Source organism: Homo sapiens, chromosome 6, assembly GCF_000001405.40.
Source record: "Homo sapiens chromosome 6, GRCh38.p14 Primary Assembly".
NCBI lineage: Eukaryota > Metazoa > Chordata > Mammalia > Primates > Hominidae > Homo > Homo sapiens.
Genome location: NC_000006.12, coordinates 80,062,550 through 80,078,912, shown reverse-complemented (window position 1 = coordinate 80,078,912; position 16,363 = coordinate 80,062,550). Strand labels below are relative to the sequence as shown.

General features: G+C 41.6%; 2 pseudogenes; both read left to right on the top strand.

Moving 5' to 3' along the window:
* Positions 551 to 1,184, top strand: AK4P5 (adenylate kinase 4 pseudogene 5; annotated as a pseudogene).
* Positions 8,330 to 15,417, top strand: LOC643562 (Rho GTPase activating protein 21 pseudogene; annotated as a pseudogene).

Genomic DNA, 16,363 nt, shown 5'->3' with positions numbered 1-16,363 from the left:
GTACTACTAGTTCTGAGAATCGGAGGGTTGGCGATAACTAAGGTTTTAAAGGCACTCAGCAATAGAAACATATATGTGTGTGTGTGTGTGTGTGTGTGTGTGTGTGTGTGTATACATATGCCTGGGTCAGGCAAGAGACTCTTTTATTCTTCTCCTTCAAGAGTAAATTAATCTCTGCCTATTTAATTTTGCCTTGTTGCTTACATTATTGTGAGGAGAAAGAGGATTTGGTTTGAATCCTTGGAGTATCAGGTGCTCCTACAGTGTGATTTTATGCCTAAGAAAAAGGCATCTCTACTCTTACAAAATTACCTACCATACCTGCCCTAATTTTCTGAAATCTCTTTAAGAATTGAAAATAAAAGGTCACCCTGCAGGGTCTGTTGGTGGCCTCCTGGAGTTCTGCCTCCTGCCAAAGGGCGGAAGGCTGGCAAGTCCCAGTGTGAGCAGAAGGTGCCAGAGGTAGAAGCCAAGAAACAAAACTCTCTGGGGCTCCCTCTGGGACTGCTATCTGGGCTGTGCATTTGGCCACCCCCTCCTAGCAAAGGCAATGGCTTCCAGACTCCTGTGCAGTCATCCTCTTGCTGCTTGCCTAGGGCAAGGGCACCTTGTGCGAGAGGATTGCCCAGAACTTAGGCCTCCAACATTTCTCTAGTAGCCACTGCTTGCGGGAGAACATCAAGGCCAACACCAGAGTTGGTGACATGGCCAAGCAGTACATAGAGAAAGGTCTTTTGGTTCCAGACCTGTGATCACATGCCTAATGATGTTGGAGTTGGAGAATAGATGTGGCAGCACTGCCTCCTAGATGGCTTTCCTAGGACATCAGGGCAAGCTGATGTCCTGGACAAAATCTGTGAAGTGAATCTAGTGATCACGTTAAACATTCCATTTGAAACACTTAAAGATCCTCTCCTAGCGGAAGGGTATATAACCTGGAATTTAATCCACCTCGTATATGTGGAATTGATGACATCGCTGGTGAACCATTAGCCCAGCATGAGGATGATAAACCCAAAGCAGTTGCTGCAAGGCTAAGACAGTACAAAGATGTGGCAAAGCCAGTCACTGAATTATACAAAAGCCAAGGAGTGATCGACGAATTTTCTGGGATAGAGGCTAACAAAATCAAGCCCTGTGTTTACATGCTTTTTTTGAACAAGATCACAGCTATTTAGTCGAAGACACATATTGACCCTGTGCAATGGAAGAATCAGGAAGATTTGGTCATTCATTCAGTTGTGTCTATAGTATTGGTATTGTGTCCAAATAAGAAGCTAGCTGAGATAGCTTGCAGCTTCTTTTCTAGTTTTAATGGTGAAGTGATAGGAAAACTAATGAGTAGAAAGAGTTCATGAAGAGTTCCTCTTCTGCCTTTCAAAAGAGTCACCTTCACATGTTTAAGGTGTCTCTGCACTTCTCAAGCCCTTCACAAGAAAGCAAGTGGATTCAAATGAGTACAGGGTGGATTTCAAATGGTGTACAACCTAAACTGTAGCTGATTTTTGCAGCCTTGTTGTTGCAATAGTATCCTTTTTACACATAATGGTGGTGGTCTCTGGTTCTCTCCATTCCGTCAAAGACTGTTGAACCACAGCACCAGTAAGCCTAAGAATGCTAAAGGCTCTGTCCCAGGCTTTGTCCCAGGTTCTCAGGTATGTGCCCTCCTGGTGACAATGAAACTGATGCTAATTGCTCTTAGTGGTTGTTTCTCTGGCCTTGAGTGATTGTGCCCAGAGTTTATTTTTTCTCATAGGCATAACTCCTTCTTTTCTGCACCCATGCTCCATAGAATCTCTCCTTTTCAGACATCCTAGGATGAAAGGAATTGGCTTCTGTTTTTTTAACATCTATCTTTTTGACATCTATTTTCTCTGTTCTTAGGCTATGAAATGATACAGGTAGTTATTGCTCTTATTCCTCTCAAATTCTTCTAAGAACTGAGAGCAAGAAGGCTAATTTAGTCTCTTCATGCACCAGAAACTGCGCTATGAAGAGGGTCTTTCTTAAGCTGCTGGTCTGACTCTCACGGATTGACATTGCTCCTTTCTTTTATTGTGAAAAAATTAAACACTTGAAATTATTTTGGGAACTTCCTGAAGTCTTTTGGGAATCCTCAAAAAACATGGGAAATATTCACCTACATGAATGTTGAGAACTCATATCTTATGCACAGAAGTAAATAAGACTGTATGAGATTACTGAAATAACAGCATAACTTTTAAGACAACAAAATGCATTTTGAAAATGTTGCTAACTACTGATGTTGACAGTGTCTTTCTCCTGTGAGTGACCCAAGTGTATTACAAGTAGTAAAGGGAATGGAGCCCGTGAGATTGAAGAAAATGTTGCACTAGCTGTGCCTAGACTAAGACGACAGTTTTACAATTATGAGAAAACAAAATCGTTATTTTTCTTCTATTCCAACGATTCATTCTAGAATCTAACTCTCAATGTCTAGAATTAGATACAAATATTTTGTCACTCATTGTAACGTAACATTAATAAATCGTTTGTTGAAATATAAAAAGGGATTAAATCTAGGAGAATTAATATGCTAATATAAATGAGTTTTAAAATGTAAATGATGATCTCAGATCTTTGATTGAATTGAGAGAGAGCCTTAGAAAATGAGGAAGAGTTAAGGAAGCTGAGGGAAAAGGGAGAGTTTGACAGTGAAGAGGACTAAACGTAACACAAAAGTTACAGACAAATACTTCATAGTATTTCACCAGGACTTGACTCATCTTCATCAGTTAGAGATGAAGATGATCCCAGGAACACCCATCAACACCTTGGACACCTACAGACCTTGGTCCCCTACAGTCCTCACCGGCACTAAGTCCAGCTGAGGGAGCTTCCTGGGGTCTATATACTTACGCTGTCTCCAGAGAAGGAGCTAACCCTGTCCCTGCCCACTGTGGCCAGTGGCTCCTGTGCTGTGCCATCTTGGAACTGGAACTACTACAGAAGTGTGTCTTTCTCCAAAGACAAATAGCCATGGCTTCTTCTCACCCCTGAGACTAAGCTACCACCGAACCACCCTAGGCCGGTGGCCTGACATCCCCATGTCAAGCTGTGAGCAGCTGTTACACTTTTTCCTGTGAGACCAAGCAGATGTGGAGCTGCTCCACCTGCTCCTTCCTCCTCCTTGAGCTGTAGCCAAAGCGGAACTCCTTCTCCTGGGAAAGCAGTACCTTGGCCACTCAAAGGAGCCCCACCTCCCCAGTGCCTAAGTTGTTGCAGCTCCTTGCATCCCAAGAAACAGTGTCTTGGCCACCCACAGCAGTCACACACTCCAGTATCTAAGCTAAAGCAGTGCCATGCATCTCAGGGAAGTGGTGCTTGGGCTGCCCAAAACAGTCACACCACCTGGGCCTGATCTGAAACAGCACGTTGCCCCCTGGGGAAGTGGTGCCTTGCCAAGCTGTTTGTTAGCAGCTGCACATCTCAGGGCTGAGGTGACATAGCACACACCACATGCCAGGGAAACAGAGCAATGAGTGAACTCAGAAACCTTGCCCAAACTCTAGGACCCTGCTTCCCTGGAGCATAATTAGTTCTCTAGTGTCTGAGCTGCTGAAACACTGTTCTCCTTGGAAAGAAGAATCATTGCTGTGCTATTTCTTCCCTATACCCCAGGGCCCAAATGATAGCTGTGCTCCCCCATTTTAGGGTACCTGCTGCCACTGCATGTAGCCTCATAGAGTCAGGATACTGCTGAGCCCCACCATTCCAGAGTCTAGAGTCACTATATGGTGCCTCATCCCCTGGGACCCAAGTTGACACACTGAGCCTTATTGGGTCAGACACCCAAATTGCAGCCATACCCTGCTCCAAAGGCCCAAACATCCACAGCACCCCTTCTTCCCTGGAGGTGGGCCAGTGCTGTGCCCTGCCCCCAAAAGATAGGAATTGTAGCTACAATCCAGTTCCGTGAGCAGTGCTAGGTTGTGCCTCAGAGTCATAGATTCTGGTCCTGTAGGCTACCTGGTCTTCCAACCCTGCTACAGAGAATGAATCTGCACCCCAAGACCCAGGTATCACTATAGGTTTGTGAGACTCTGAACCTAGGATCCTGGCCCCACAGCTGCCTCAAGCACCTGCACCTGGAATCCAATGCCACTGCAGCTGCTATTAATAGTAAGCCATGTCACACTTGATATCAAGAAGGATTCCCTCCTCTAAGTCTCTTCATTGTAGAGAAAACAAGGAGGACTTCAAAAGCCCTTGACACTGAGGAGCTATTAACAACCTACACTGCCACTGCCATCCCACAAACTTCTACAGCTTATGCTACTGAGGTGCTCACAGTTATTGTTGACTTTGAACAGCTGCAGAAGCTATTGAAGGGCAGCTTTGCTGGGTATAGTGTTCTTGACTGCACTGTACCTGTCTGAAAATAGAATCACTACATCCTTCCAAACTGGCACACCAAAACCCAACTGCAGATGAAAGTTTTTCTCTACAAGATCCACTCTAGAAGTTTTGGAAGAGGTGATTTTTCCACCAGATGCACAGACATCAACATAGGAGCACACACACACAACATTAAAAAGCAAGAAAAATCTGATACCACCAAAGAAATATAATAACTATCTGGTTACAGACCCAATGAAAGTGAAATCAACAAACTGCTGGAAAAGAAATTCAAAATAGTGATCTTAAGAAAACTCAATGAGATACAAGAAAATATAGACAGGCAATTCAACAAAATCAGAAAAAAATTTATGATACAAATGATAAATTCAACAAAGAGATAAAAATCATTGAAAAAGCCAAGAGAAATACTGCAGCTAATGATTTCTATGAATTGAAGAAATAATAGAGAGCTTCAACAGCAGCCTTGATCAAGCCAATAAAAGAATCTCTGAACTTAGGCCTGGAGCAGTGGCTTATGCCTGTAACCCCAGCACTTTGGGAGGCTGAGGTGGATGGATCACGAGGTCAGGAGTTCAAGACCATCCTGGCCAATATAGTGAAACCCTGTCTCTACTAAAAATACAAAAATTAGGTGGGCATGTGGCATGTGCCTGTAGTCCCAACTGCTCGGGGGGCTGAGGCAGGAGAATCGCTTGAACTCAGGAGGCAGAGGTTGCAGTGAGCCGAGATCGTGCTACTGCACTCCAGCCTGGGCAACAGAGCAAGATTCTGTCTCAAAAAAAAAAAAAAAAAAAAAGATCTCTGAACTTGAAGATAGGTTATCTGAAATTACCCAGCCAGAAAAAATAAAGGAAATAAGAATGAAAGAGAATAAAGAAAGGCTACAAGACTTATAGGACCCCCCATTAAGTGAACAAATGTTCTCATTTATGGGAGTTCCAGATGGAAAAGAGAAGGAAAATGGTGTAGAAAAACCTATTTAATAAAATAATAGCTAAAATTGTTCCAAGCTGGGGAGAGATATGGATATCCAGATCTAGGAGATCTAGGAGTTCAAAGGTCTCCAAAAAGATTCAGTCTAAAAATCTACTCCCTGTGGCACTTTATAGTCAAACTATCAAAAGTCAAAGACAAAGAGAATTCTAAAAACATCAAGATAAAAGCATTAAGTCACACATAAAGGAATCCCCATTAGACTAACGCATATTTCTTTGCAGTACCCTTACAGACTAGAAGAAAATGAATTATTTGATGAATTATTTGAAGTGCTGAAAGGAGAAAAACCTGCCAGTCAAGAACACTATACTCAGCAAAGCTACCTTTCAGACACGAGAGAAATAAAGCCTTTTCCAGACAAGCAAAAACTGAGGGAATTTATCACCACTATCCTAGTCTTGCAAAAATCCTTAAGCGAGTCCTACATCTTAAAGTGAAAAGATGGCTATCATGAAACCACGCAAAAGTATAAAACTCAGTGGTAGAGCAGATATACAAAGAGAAAATAATGAAACCCTATCACTACAGAAAACCACTAAACCACAATGATAAACAAGGAAGAAAGGAACAAAGGATATGCAAGACAACTGGAAAACAATTAATATAGTGACATGAATCTTCACCTATCAATAACAACCTTGAATGTAAATTAATTACATTCCCCACCTTAAAGATATAAAATGACTCAACTGTGTGCTGCCTACAAGAAATTCACTTCATCTGCAAAGACACATATAAACCGAATGTGAAAGAGATGGAAAAGGATAGTCTATGCAAACAGAAACCAAAAACAAGCAGGAGTAGCTATGCTTATTTCAGATAAAATAATTTTAAGTCAAAAACTCTAAAAAGAGACAATGAAGTTTAAAAGATGATAAAGGGATAAATTCAGCAAGAGAATATAACAATTGTAAATATATATGCACCCAACATCAGAGCACCTAGATACATAAAGCAAATATTATCAGATCTAAAGAGAGAGATAGACCCCAAAACAATAACAGCTGGGGACTTCAACCCCTTTTTACTCTTTATTAGGAGGTCATTATTCACTACATTTTAGTATAACGGTTAAGAGTTCAGGATCTGGTATTATATTATACTAGCTTGAACCTACTTGCAGATGGCCTTGGGTAAGCTTGTGATTCAGTTTCCCCATCTTCAAAATGAGGAGTATAGTAGTCACTAACTCCATGACTTGTGAAGGTTAATTGAGAATATTTAGAATAGCACCTGGCATATAGTAGGGGCTCAATACATTTTAGCCATTACTATCTTTTTTTGTATTGGCCATTCATACACTTATTCAACTTGGATTTTTTGTATAACCTACATTTGCAAAATGGTTGACTGGCAAAGCTTTAAATCATTAAGTTTGTGTGTGGGTGGGTGGAGCGGGGGGCAGTGAGGAATTCTATTACTTCTAACTAACCAGTTGCACTTTCAGTAGTTTGGTGCATTACCAGACCCAGTGGTCACCATATTGATAGTAACCAGCATAGACAGCAGCATAGCACGCTGAAATTCAGAAGAGTTAGACTCAAGCCATTTTTCAGCCTCAACTTCTGACTTCAACAATATATTTGTGTCCAAGAATAGAAAGGCAAAACACATAGCCTGACTAAAGAAACATTATACACTCTCTTACAGTCAAATTAAGTGTAGTTTAAAGTGTTATTTTCAGGACCTTGACTTTTAAATAATGATGATAAGTGACAGTATTTCTACTTTCACACATAACTACTTATGTGAGGTAGTTACTTTTACATATGAATTCTTATTTCATTTTGGTCTTCTGTGTTCCCTTTTCCCATAAATGTCACTCCCACAATGCCCAGCTAGAAACCAGTAACTGCCCTAGGCATTTCCCTTTTCCATCTTCTTCACTTACAGTGACCATTCTGTTTATTTTACTTATTTACTTAATCTATCCTTTCCTCTCCATCCCTTATCCACTGCCATAGTTTAAGCTCTCACTACCTCCCTCCTGGCCTTTAGCAATAATCTACTGGTTTATATCTCCACTATTCCATTTTTCTCAAAGAATTAGAACATTTTAAAGTACAAATAGAGACAAGATCTTGTGTCTATCCTGCTTCAAAGGCTTTAAAAATTCCCCATTGGTGACAGGAAAAGAACCATCTCCTTAGCATGATATACACAGTCCTTCATGTCTGGACTCTACACCCAACTCTACCATCAGCTCCTGCTGTGCTCCCATTATCTTTCTGGACACAGATATTGTCTGTCTTATTTTTGTATCGCAGCATTTATTCTACTTCTGGAGTCAATAAATGTTTGCATAATGAAGGGATGCACACATGCATAATAACAAGCATGACTTTTTAAAAACTGGTATTTATCTCTAGGTTTTCTGTAAAGGATTCAAATTTATTTCATATTAAGAGAGTGAAACTTAAAGGTTCAGCTAAAGCTCAATTTTGACACTTAAGAGCTTATCATAGAAATCATATTGTATAATAAAAATACACATACATACATATACATCTATATCAGTATACTGTGTGAACATATATACATATATGTATTATATATTATATATGTATACATATATGTACATATACATATAATATACATGTGTATATGTACATATATGTATTATATATAATATATAATACACATATATGTATATATACACACACATATATAATACATATATATGTATAATCATTCCTTGGTATCCATGGGAGATTGGTTCCAGGACTTCTACAGATAAAATCTGCAGATGCTAAAGTCCCTTATATAAAATGGCATCGTATTTGCATATAACCTATGCATATCCTCCCAAATACTTTAAATCATGTCTAGATTACTTTTAATACCTAATACACTGCGGCCTAGAGCGTCCCGGCCGGGCCCGGCGCCCGGCCAGCGTCCCTGCTTCAGCTCGCCACTGCACTTTGGCTGCCAGGCCCGAGCGGGCGGGAAGGGATCTCTCTAGGAGCTGACACTCGAACCTTCACGACCCATTCGGATTTTTCCAGGACTCAGGAGTGGCACTGGGAAGAAGGGGACCGCTTTCTGCAATTGGCCTCGACACTGGCTGCCAAGAAGACCTGTCGCCTTTGTTTTGAAGTCTCCAGAAATGGAAGAAGAAGGCGAAGTCAGTTGAAGTCACGAGAAATCAGCGAGGCATTTGAAGGCGCTTCCTGAAAACATTTATTCCCTGGTACGTTGTCTGTTTCACCAGCCCTGCCCCTCCTCGGAGCCTGCTTGTGGAATTCTTCCCCTTTGGGTGTGTGGTGGCATTCCCCCCGACCTCCAATGTGGACTCCAAAGGATTTGTCCCTTCTTTGTCATTTGAAATAAAATGATGGCCACGCGTTGGACTGGTCTGCCTGAGGGAGATGGTGACAAGTTCAAGGCCTGCGAAGTCTAAAAAAATAAAGATGGAAAAGAACAAAGTGAAACTGTATCACTGTCCAAAGATGAAACATTCTCCTGGCCAGGTCCCAAAACAGTTACGTTGAAAAGAACATCTCAAGACTTTGGTTTTACATTAAGACATTTTATTGTTTATCCCCCAGAGTCTGCAATTCAATTTTCATATAAGGATGAAGAAAATGGAAACAGAGGAGACTTTTGAGATTGATGGAAGCTCTGTGCAGCTGGTCAGTCTCTCAGCCATTACTTTGGAAACAGGAAACACCTCAAGGAAAACAAAGAAACCGCTTGGACCCAATGGATACCATTTTGTTAAGCAAGTTAAAGAAGGAGGACCTGCTTTTGAAGCTGGATTATGTACAGGTGACCAAATTATAAAAGTCAATGGAGAAAGTGTTATTGGCAAAACCTATTCCCAAGTAATTTCTTTAATTCAAAACAGTGATACAACATTGGAACTTAGTGTTATGCCACAATATGAAGACATTCTCCAAGTGGCATATTCTCAAGATGCCTACCTGAAAGGCAACGAAGCTTATAGCGGCAATGCCCGCAATATACCTGAACCTCCACCAATCTGCTATCCCTGGCTGCCATCTGCCCCATCAGCCATGGCACAGCCAGTTGAAATAGCTCCTCCTGACTCATCACTGAGCAAACAGCAAACCAGTACACCAGTACTGACACAACCTGGTAGGGCCTATAGAATGGAAATACAAGTGCCTCCATCACCAACAGATGTTGCAAAATCAAACACAGCAGTGTGTGTTTGCAATGAAAGTGTAAGGACTGTCATTGTGCCTTCTGAGAAGGTTGTAGATTTGTTATCCAACAGAAACAACCATACAGGTCCTTCACATAGAATTGAAGAAGTGAGGTATGGCGTGAATGAGCAGACCTCTTTAAAAACAGTGTCAAGAACCACATCACCACCATTATCAATTCCCACCACTCATCTAATTCATCAGCCCGCAGGCTCCAGATCATTGGAACCTTCTGGAATTTTACTTAAATCTGGAAATTACAGTGGACATTCTGATGGAATCTCAAGCAGCAGATCTCAAGCTGTGGAGGCTCCCTCTGTATCTGTTAATCACTATTTGCCAAATTCCCATCAGCACATAGACTGGAAAAACTATAAAACTTACAAAGAGTATATTGATAACAGACGATTGCACATAGGTTGTCGGACAATACAAGAAAGATTAGATAGTTTAAGAGCAGCATCTCAAAGCACGATGGATTATAACCAGGTCGTCCCTAACCGCACTACTTTGCAGGGACGACGTCGAAGCACCTCTCATGATCGAGTGCCCCAGTCTGTCCAGATACGGCAACGCAGTGTGTCCCAAGAAAGACTGGAAGATTCTGTGCTAATGAAGTATTGTCCAAGAAGTGCATCTCAAGGAGCACTGACGTCTCCATCTGTTAGTTTTAGTAATCATAGAACTCGTTCATGGGATTATATTGAGGGACAGGATGAAACCTTAGAAAATGTCAATTCTGGAACTCCAATACCTGATTCCAACGGAGAGAAAAAACAGACTTACAAGTGGAGTGGGTTTACTGAACAGGATGATAGACGAGGTATTTATGAAAGACCTAGGCAGCAAGAAATTCATAAATCTTTTCGAGGTTCCAATTTTACTGTGGCTCCAAGTGTTGTTAATTCTGATAACAGGCGAATGAGTGGTAGAGGAGTGGGATCTGTGTCGCAGTTTAAAAAAATTCCACCAGATCTAAAAACACTGCAGTCAAACAGAAATTTTCAGACTGCTTGTGGAATGTCACTGCCTCGGGGTATTTCACAAGACAGGTCACCTCTTGTGAAAGTCCGAAGTAATTCTCTGAAAGCTCCTTCCACGCATGTCACAAAACCATCATTTAACCAGAAATCATTTGTTTCTATCAAAGACCAAAGACCAGTAAATCACTTGCATCAGAACAGTCTGTTGAATCAGCAGACATGGGTAAGGACTGACAGTGCCTCCGATCAGCAAGTGGAGACTGGGAAATCCCCCTCTATCTGGAGCCTCTGCCAAGCCTGCCCCTCAGTCGAGTGAAAACGCTGGTACTTCAGATTTAGAACTACCTGTCAGTCAAAGGAATCAAGATTTAAGTTTACAAGAGGCTGAAATTGAGCAATCAGATACTTTAGATAATAAAGAAGCTGTCATCCTAAGGGAAAAACCTCCATCTGGACACCAGACACCGCAGCCTTTAAGGCATCAGTCTTACATCTTGGCAGTAAATGACCAGGAGACCAGGTCAGACACTACCTGCTGGCTGCCCATGATGCACGTCGAGAGGTCCACATAAAAAGAATGGAGGAAAGAAAAGCCTTGAGTACCAGTCCGCCTGGCGATTCTTTGGCTTCCGTCCCATTTATAGATGAACCAACTAGCCCTAGCATTGATCATGATATTGCACATATCCCTGCTTCTGCTGTTATATCAGCCTCTACCTCTCAGGTCCCCTGCATAGCAACAGTTCCTCCTAGCCTCACAACTTCAGTTCCATTAATTTGCCGTCAGCTCTCACATGACCACGAATCTGTTGGCCCTCATAGCCTGAATGCTCAGCCCAACTCAAAGACAGAAAGATCAAAATCATATGATGAGGGTCTGGATGATTACAGAGAAGATGTAAAATTGTCCTTTAAGCATGTATCTAGTCTGAAGGGAATCAAGGTCGCAGACAGCCAAAAGTCATCAGAAGACTCTGGGTCCAGAAAAGATTCTTCCTCAGAGGCCTTCAGTGATGCTGCCAAGGAAGGGTGGCTCCATTTCCGATCCCTTGTCACCGATAACGGCAAGTGAGTTGGTGGAAGTATTTGGCCATGGAAACAGATGTACGTTGTCCTTCGGGGTCATTCACTTTACCTGTACAAAGATAAAAGAGAGCAGACGACTCCGTCTGAGGAAGAGCAGCCCATCAGTGTTAATGCTTGCTTGATAGACATCTCTTACAGTGAGACCAAGAGGAAAAATGTGTTTCGACTCACCACGTCCGACTGTGAATGCCTGTTTCAGGCTGAAGACAGAGATGATATGTTAGCTTGGATCAAGACGATCCAGGAGAGCAGCAACCTAAACGAAGAGGACACTGGAGTCACTAACAGGGATCTAATTAGTCGAACAATAAAAGAATACAACAATCTGATGAGCAAAGCAGAACAGTTGCCAAAAACACCTCGTCAGAGTCTCAGCATCAGGCAAACTTTGCCTGGTGCTAAATCAGAGCCAAAGACTCAAAGCCCACACTCTCCGAAGGAAGAGTCAGAAAGGAAACTTCTCAGTAAAGATGATACCAGTCCCCCAAAAGACGAAAGCACATGGAGAAAAGGCATTCCAAGTATCATGAGAAAGACATTTGAGAGAAAGCCAACTGCTACAGGAACTTTCGGCGTCCGACTAGATGACTGCCCACCAGCTCATACTAATCGGTATATTCCATTAATAGTTGACATATGTTGCAAATTAGTTGAAGAAAGAGGTCTTGAATATACACGTATTTATAGAGTTCCTGGAAATAATGCAGCCATCTCAAGTATGCAAGAAGAACTCAACAAGGGAATGGCTGATATTGATATACAAGATGATAAATGGTGAGATTTGAATGTGATAAGCAGTTTACTAAAATGCTTCTCCAGAAAACTCCCTGAGTCTCTCTTCACAAATGATAAATATGCTGATTTTATTGAAGCCAATCGTAAAGAGGAGCCTCTAGATCGTCTGAAAACATTAAAAAGACTAATTCACGATTTGCCTGAACATCATTATGAAACACTTAAGTTCCTTTCAGCTCATCTGAAGACAGTGGCAGAAAATTCAGAAAAAAATAAGATGGAACCAGGAAACCTAGCAATAGTGTTTGGTCCCACCCTTGTTCGAACATCAGAAGACAACATGACCCATATGGTCACCCACATGCCTGACCAGTACAAGATCGTAGAAACGCTCATCCAGCACCATGACTGGTTTTTCACAGAAGAAGGTGCTGAAGAGCCTCTTACAACAGTGCAGGAGGAAAGCACAGTAGACTCCCAGCCAGTGCCAAACATAGATCATTTACTCACCAACATTGGAAGGACAGGAGTCTCCCCAGGAGATGTATCAGATTCAGCTACTAGTGACTCAACAAAATCTAAGGGTTCTTGGGGATCTGGAAAGGATCAGTATAGCAGGGAACTGCTCGTGTCCTCCATCTTTGCAGCTGCTAGTCGCAAGAGGAAGAAGCCAAAAGAAAAAGCACAGCCTAGCAGCTCAGAAGATGAACTGGACAATGTATTTTTTAAGAAAGAAAATGTGGAACAGTGTCACAATGATACTAAAGAGGAGTCCAAAAAAGAAAGTGAGACACTGGGCAGAAAACAGAAGATCATCATTGCCAAAGAAAATAGCACTAGGAAAGACCCCAGCACGACAAAAGATGAAAAGATATCACTAGGAAAAGAGAGCACGCCTTCCGAAGAACCCTCATCACCACACAACTCAGAACACAACAAGTCACCAACTCTCAGCTGTCGCTTTGCCATCCTGAAAGACAGCCCCAGGTCACTTCTGGCACAGAAGTCCTCCCACCTTGAAGAGACAGGCTCTGACTCTGGCACTTTGCTCAGCACGTCTTCCCAGGCCTCCCTGGCAAGGTTTTCCATGAAGAAATCAACCAGTCCAGAAACGAAACAGCGAGTTTTTGGCCAACGTCAGCACCATCACCTCAGATTATTCCACCACATCGTCTGCTGCATACTTGACTAGCCTGGACTCCAGTCGACTGAGCCCTGAGGTGCAATCCGCGGCAGAGAGCAAGGGGGACGAGGCAGATGACGAGAGAAGCGAACTCATCAGCAAAGGGCGGCCTGTGGAAACCGACAGCGAGAGTGAGTTTCCCGTGTTCCCCACAGCCTTGACTTCAGAGAGGCTTTTCCGAGGAAAACTGCAAGAAGTGACTAAGAGCAGCCGGAGAAATTCTGAAGGAAGTGAATTAAGTTGCACCGAGGGAAGTTTAACATCAAGTTTAGATAGCCGGAGACAGCTCTTCAGTTCCCATAAACTCATCGAATGTGATACTCTTTCCAGGAAAAAATCAGCTAGATTCAAGTCAGATAGTGGAAGTCTAGGAGATGCCAAGAATGAGAAAGAAGCACCTTCATTAACTAAAGTGTTTGATGTTATGAAAAAAGGAAAGTCAACTGGGAGTTTACTGACACCCACCAGAGGCGAATCCGAAAAACAGGAACCCACATGGAAAACGAAAACAGCAGATCGGTTAAAACTGAGACCCAGAGCCCCTGCGGATGACATGTTTGGAGTAGGGAATCACAAAGTGAATGCCGAGACTGCTAAAAGGAAAAGCATCCGGCGCAGACATACACTAGGAGGGCACAGAGATGCTACTGAAATCAGCGTTTTGAATTTTTGGAAAGTGCATGAGCAGAGCGGGGAGAGAGAATCTGAACTTTCAGCTGTAAATCGATTAAAACCAAAATGCTCAGCCCAGGACCTTTCCATCTCAGACTGGCTGGCCAGGGAACGCCTACGCACCAGTACCTCTGACCTTAGCAGAGGAGAAATCGGAGATCCCCAGACAGAGAAGCCAAGCACACGGGAAATAGCCACGACCGACACACCTTTGTCTCTTCATTGCCCCACAGGCAGTTCTTCCAGCATCTTGGCTTCAACAAACAGGCCCCTTCTTTCCATACCACCACAGTCACCTGACCAAATAAATGGAGAAAGCTTCCAGAACGTGAGCAAAAATGCTAGTTCTGCAGCGAATGCCCAACCTCATAAACTATCTGAAACCCCAGGCAATAAAGCAGAGTTTCATCCCTGTCTTTAAACTGGGGGTATGTCCACTCTAGCAAGTAAAAAAACTACTGTTACACGTTCCAGTAACTCTGTCAATATTTTCTTGTATCAGAATTGTTATTATGCAGCCTTCATTTGGGCTGGTTTCATCATTTTGCACTGTGAAATAGCTTTACAGTGCATTACTACAGCCAGAAGTACATATATATATATATTTTAAAATATATCGGATAGTTGTATACAAATGAGCAAGGTATTTGTTGCAACTTACTACATAGCATATACCCAAAATCACTGAAGAAAATCGCTGGCATCAGTGTGCAGCAAATTTGTTCTTTTGGTTTCATCACTAACAAAAGTGCCTCATCATAAAAACACAGTTGGTTTTTAGGGTGCCATATTGTTAAAATTAGATAACTTACATTGAATAAACGAATGCGTTTTATTGGTAACAAATTTCATTACATTTACCAGTTTTAACACAGGTGGATACAGAACTTCCATTCTTTAGTCATTCCAGGTGGATCTGAATTTTATATTCAAACTTTTAATACAGTTTTTGAGTTTTGTGTGACTTGAATTTTTAATCTTTCTGTAAAATACGTAACTTAAATGAACATATTAAATGTGTATCTTTTCTTCAGATACCAGATTTGATATAAATGTTGTAACATAGGTGTGTAGATAGTGGATCCTGGATGGAACTGGCTTCTTTATCGAGAAGAATACAATTCTACATGAGGACTTAATGAATCCAAACCTGTGTCATGCCTGTGTGCATATTCAATTAAACACTGGAAATAAAAATTGTTTTGGTGAAAAAAAAAATACCTAATACAATGTAAGGACTATGTAAGTCATTACTATATCGTATTTAAAATTTCGTATTTTTATTGTATTGTGATTTTTTATAAGTTAATTTTTTCAAGTTTTTTCAATATGTGGTTGGTTGAATCCATGATGTGGAACCCATAAATATAGAAGGCCAACCATATGTACTTTCAGACATATTTCATATAATATAGATGTTTATATATCCTAAAAACCTATATATCCTTTAACATGATTATCAGGTTGACCTCTGCATCTTTTGCCAGATAAAATATGAGATGCTTTTATTAAATAGTGGCAATCAAAAAATAACTCTTAAAGCAAGCAGCTAGGCTTTGAAATTAAAAATAACCTTAATCATTAGGAAAATAAAAAATAAAGGTGGGAGGCTGAGGTGGGAGCATCACTTGAGGTTACAAGTTTGAGACCATCCTGGCCAACATGGTGAAACCCTGTCTCTATGAAAAATACAAAAATTAGCATAGCAATGAAGAGCACCTGTAGTCTCAGCTACTCAGGAGGCTGAGGCAGAAGAATCGCTTGAACCCAGGAAGTGGAGGTTGCAGTGAGCCAAGATCATACCACTGCACCCTAACCTAGGTGACAGAGCCAGACTCTGTCTCAAAAAATAAAAATTAAAAAATGGGACCAAAGTGAGGCCAAAAACAACAGGCAGTAAGTTGTTACAATTGGGAGCCCAGGGAGTAGAGATCAAACCAAAAGAAAGCATTCCTGAACAGCATGTGACTGTGACCTGGTGAAATGTCTTGTTGACCTGTGCATGTGGCAACTCATTGGACATCTTTTCAACCAGCTGTGTTCGCTCATTGTGAAAGATAAACTGGGTATCTCATATGAGCCAAGCACTATAATAGGCCACATCAGGGCCTAGATGACCAAGTAATAGCCAAAAACTTAAGGAGTTCACAATCTAT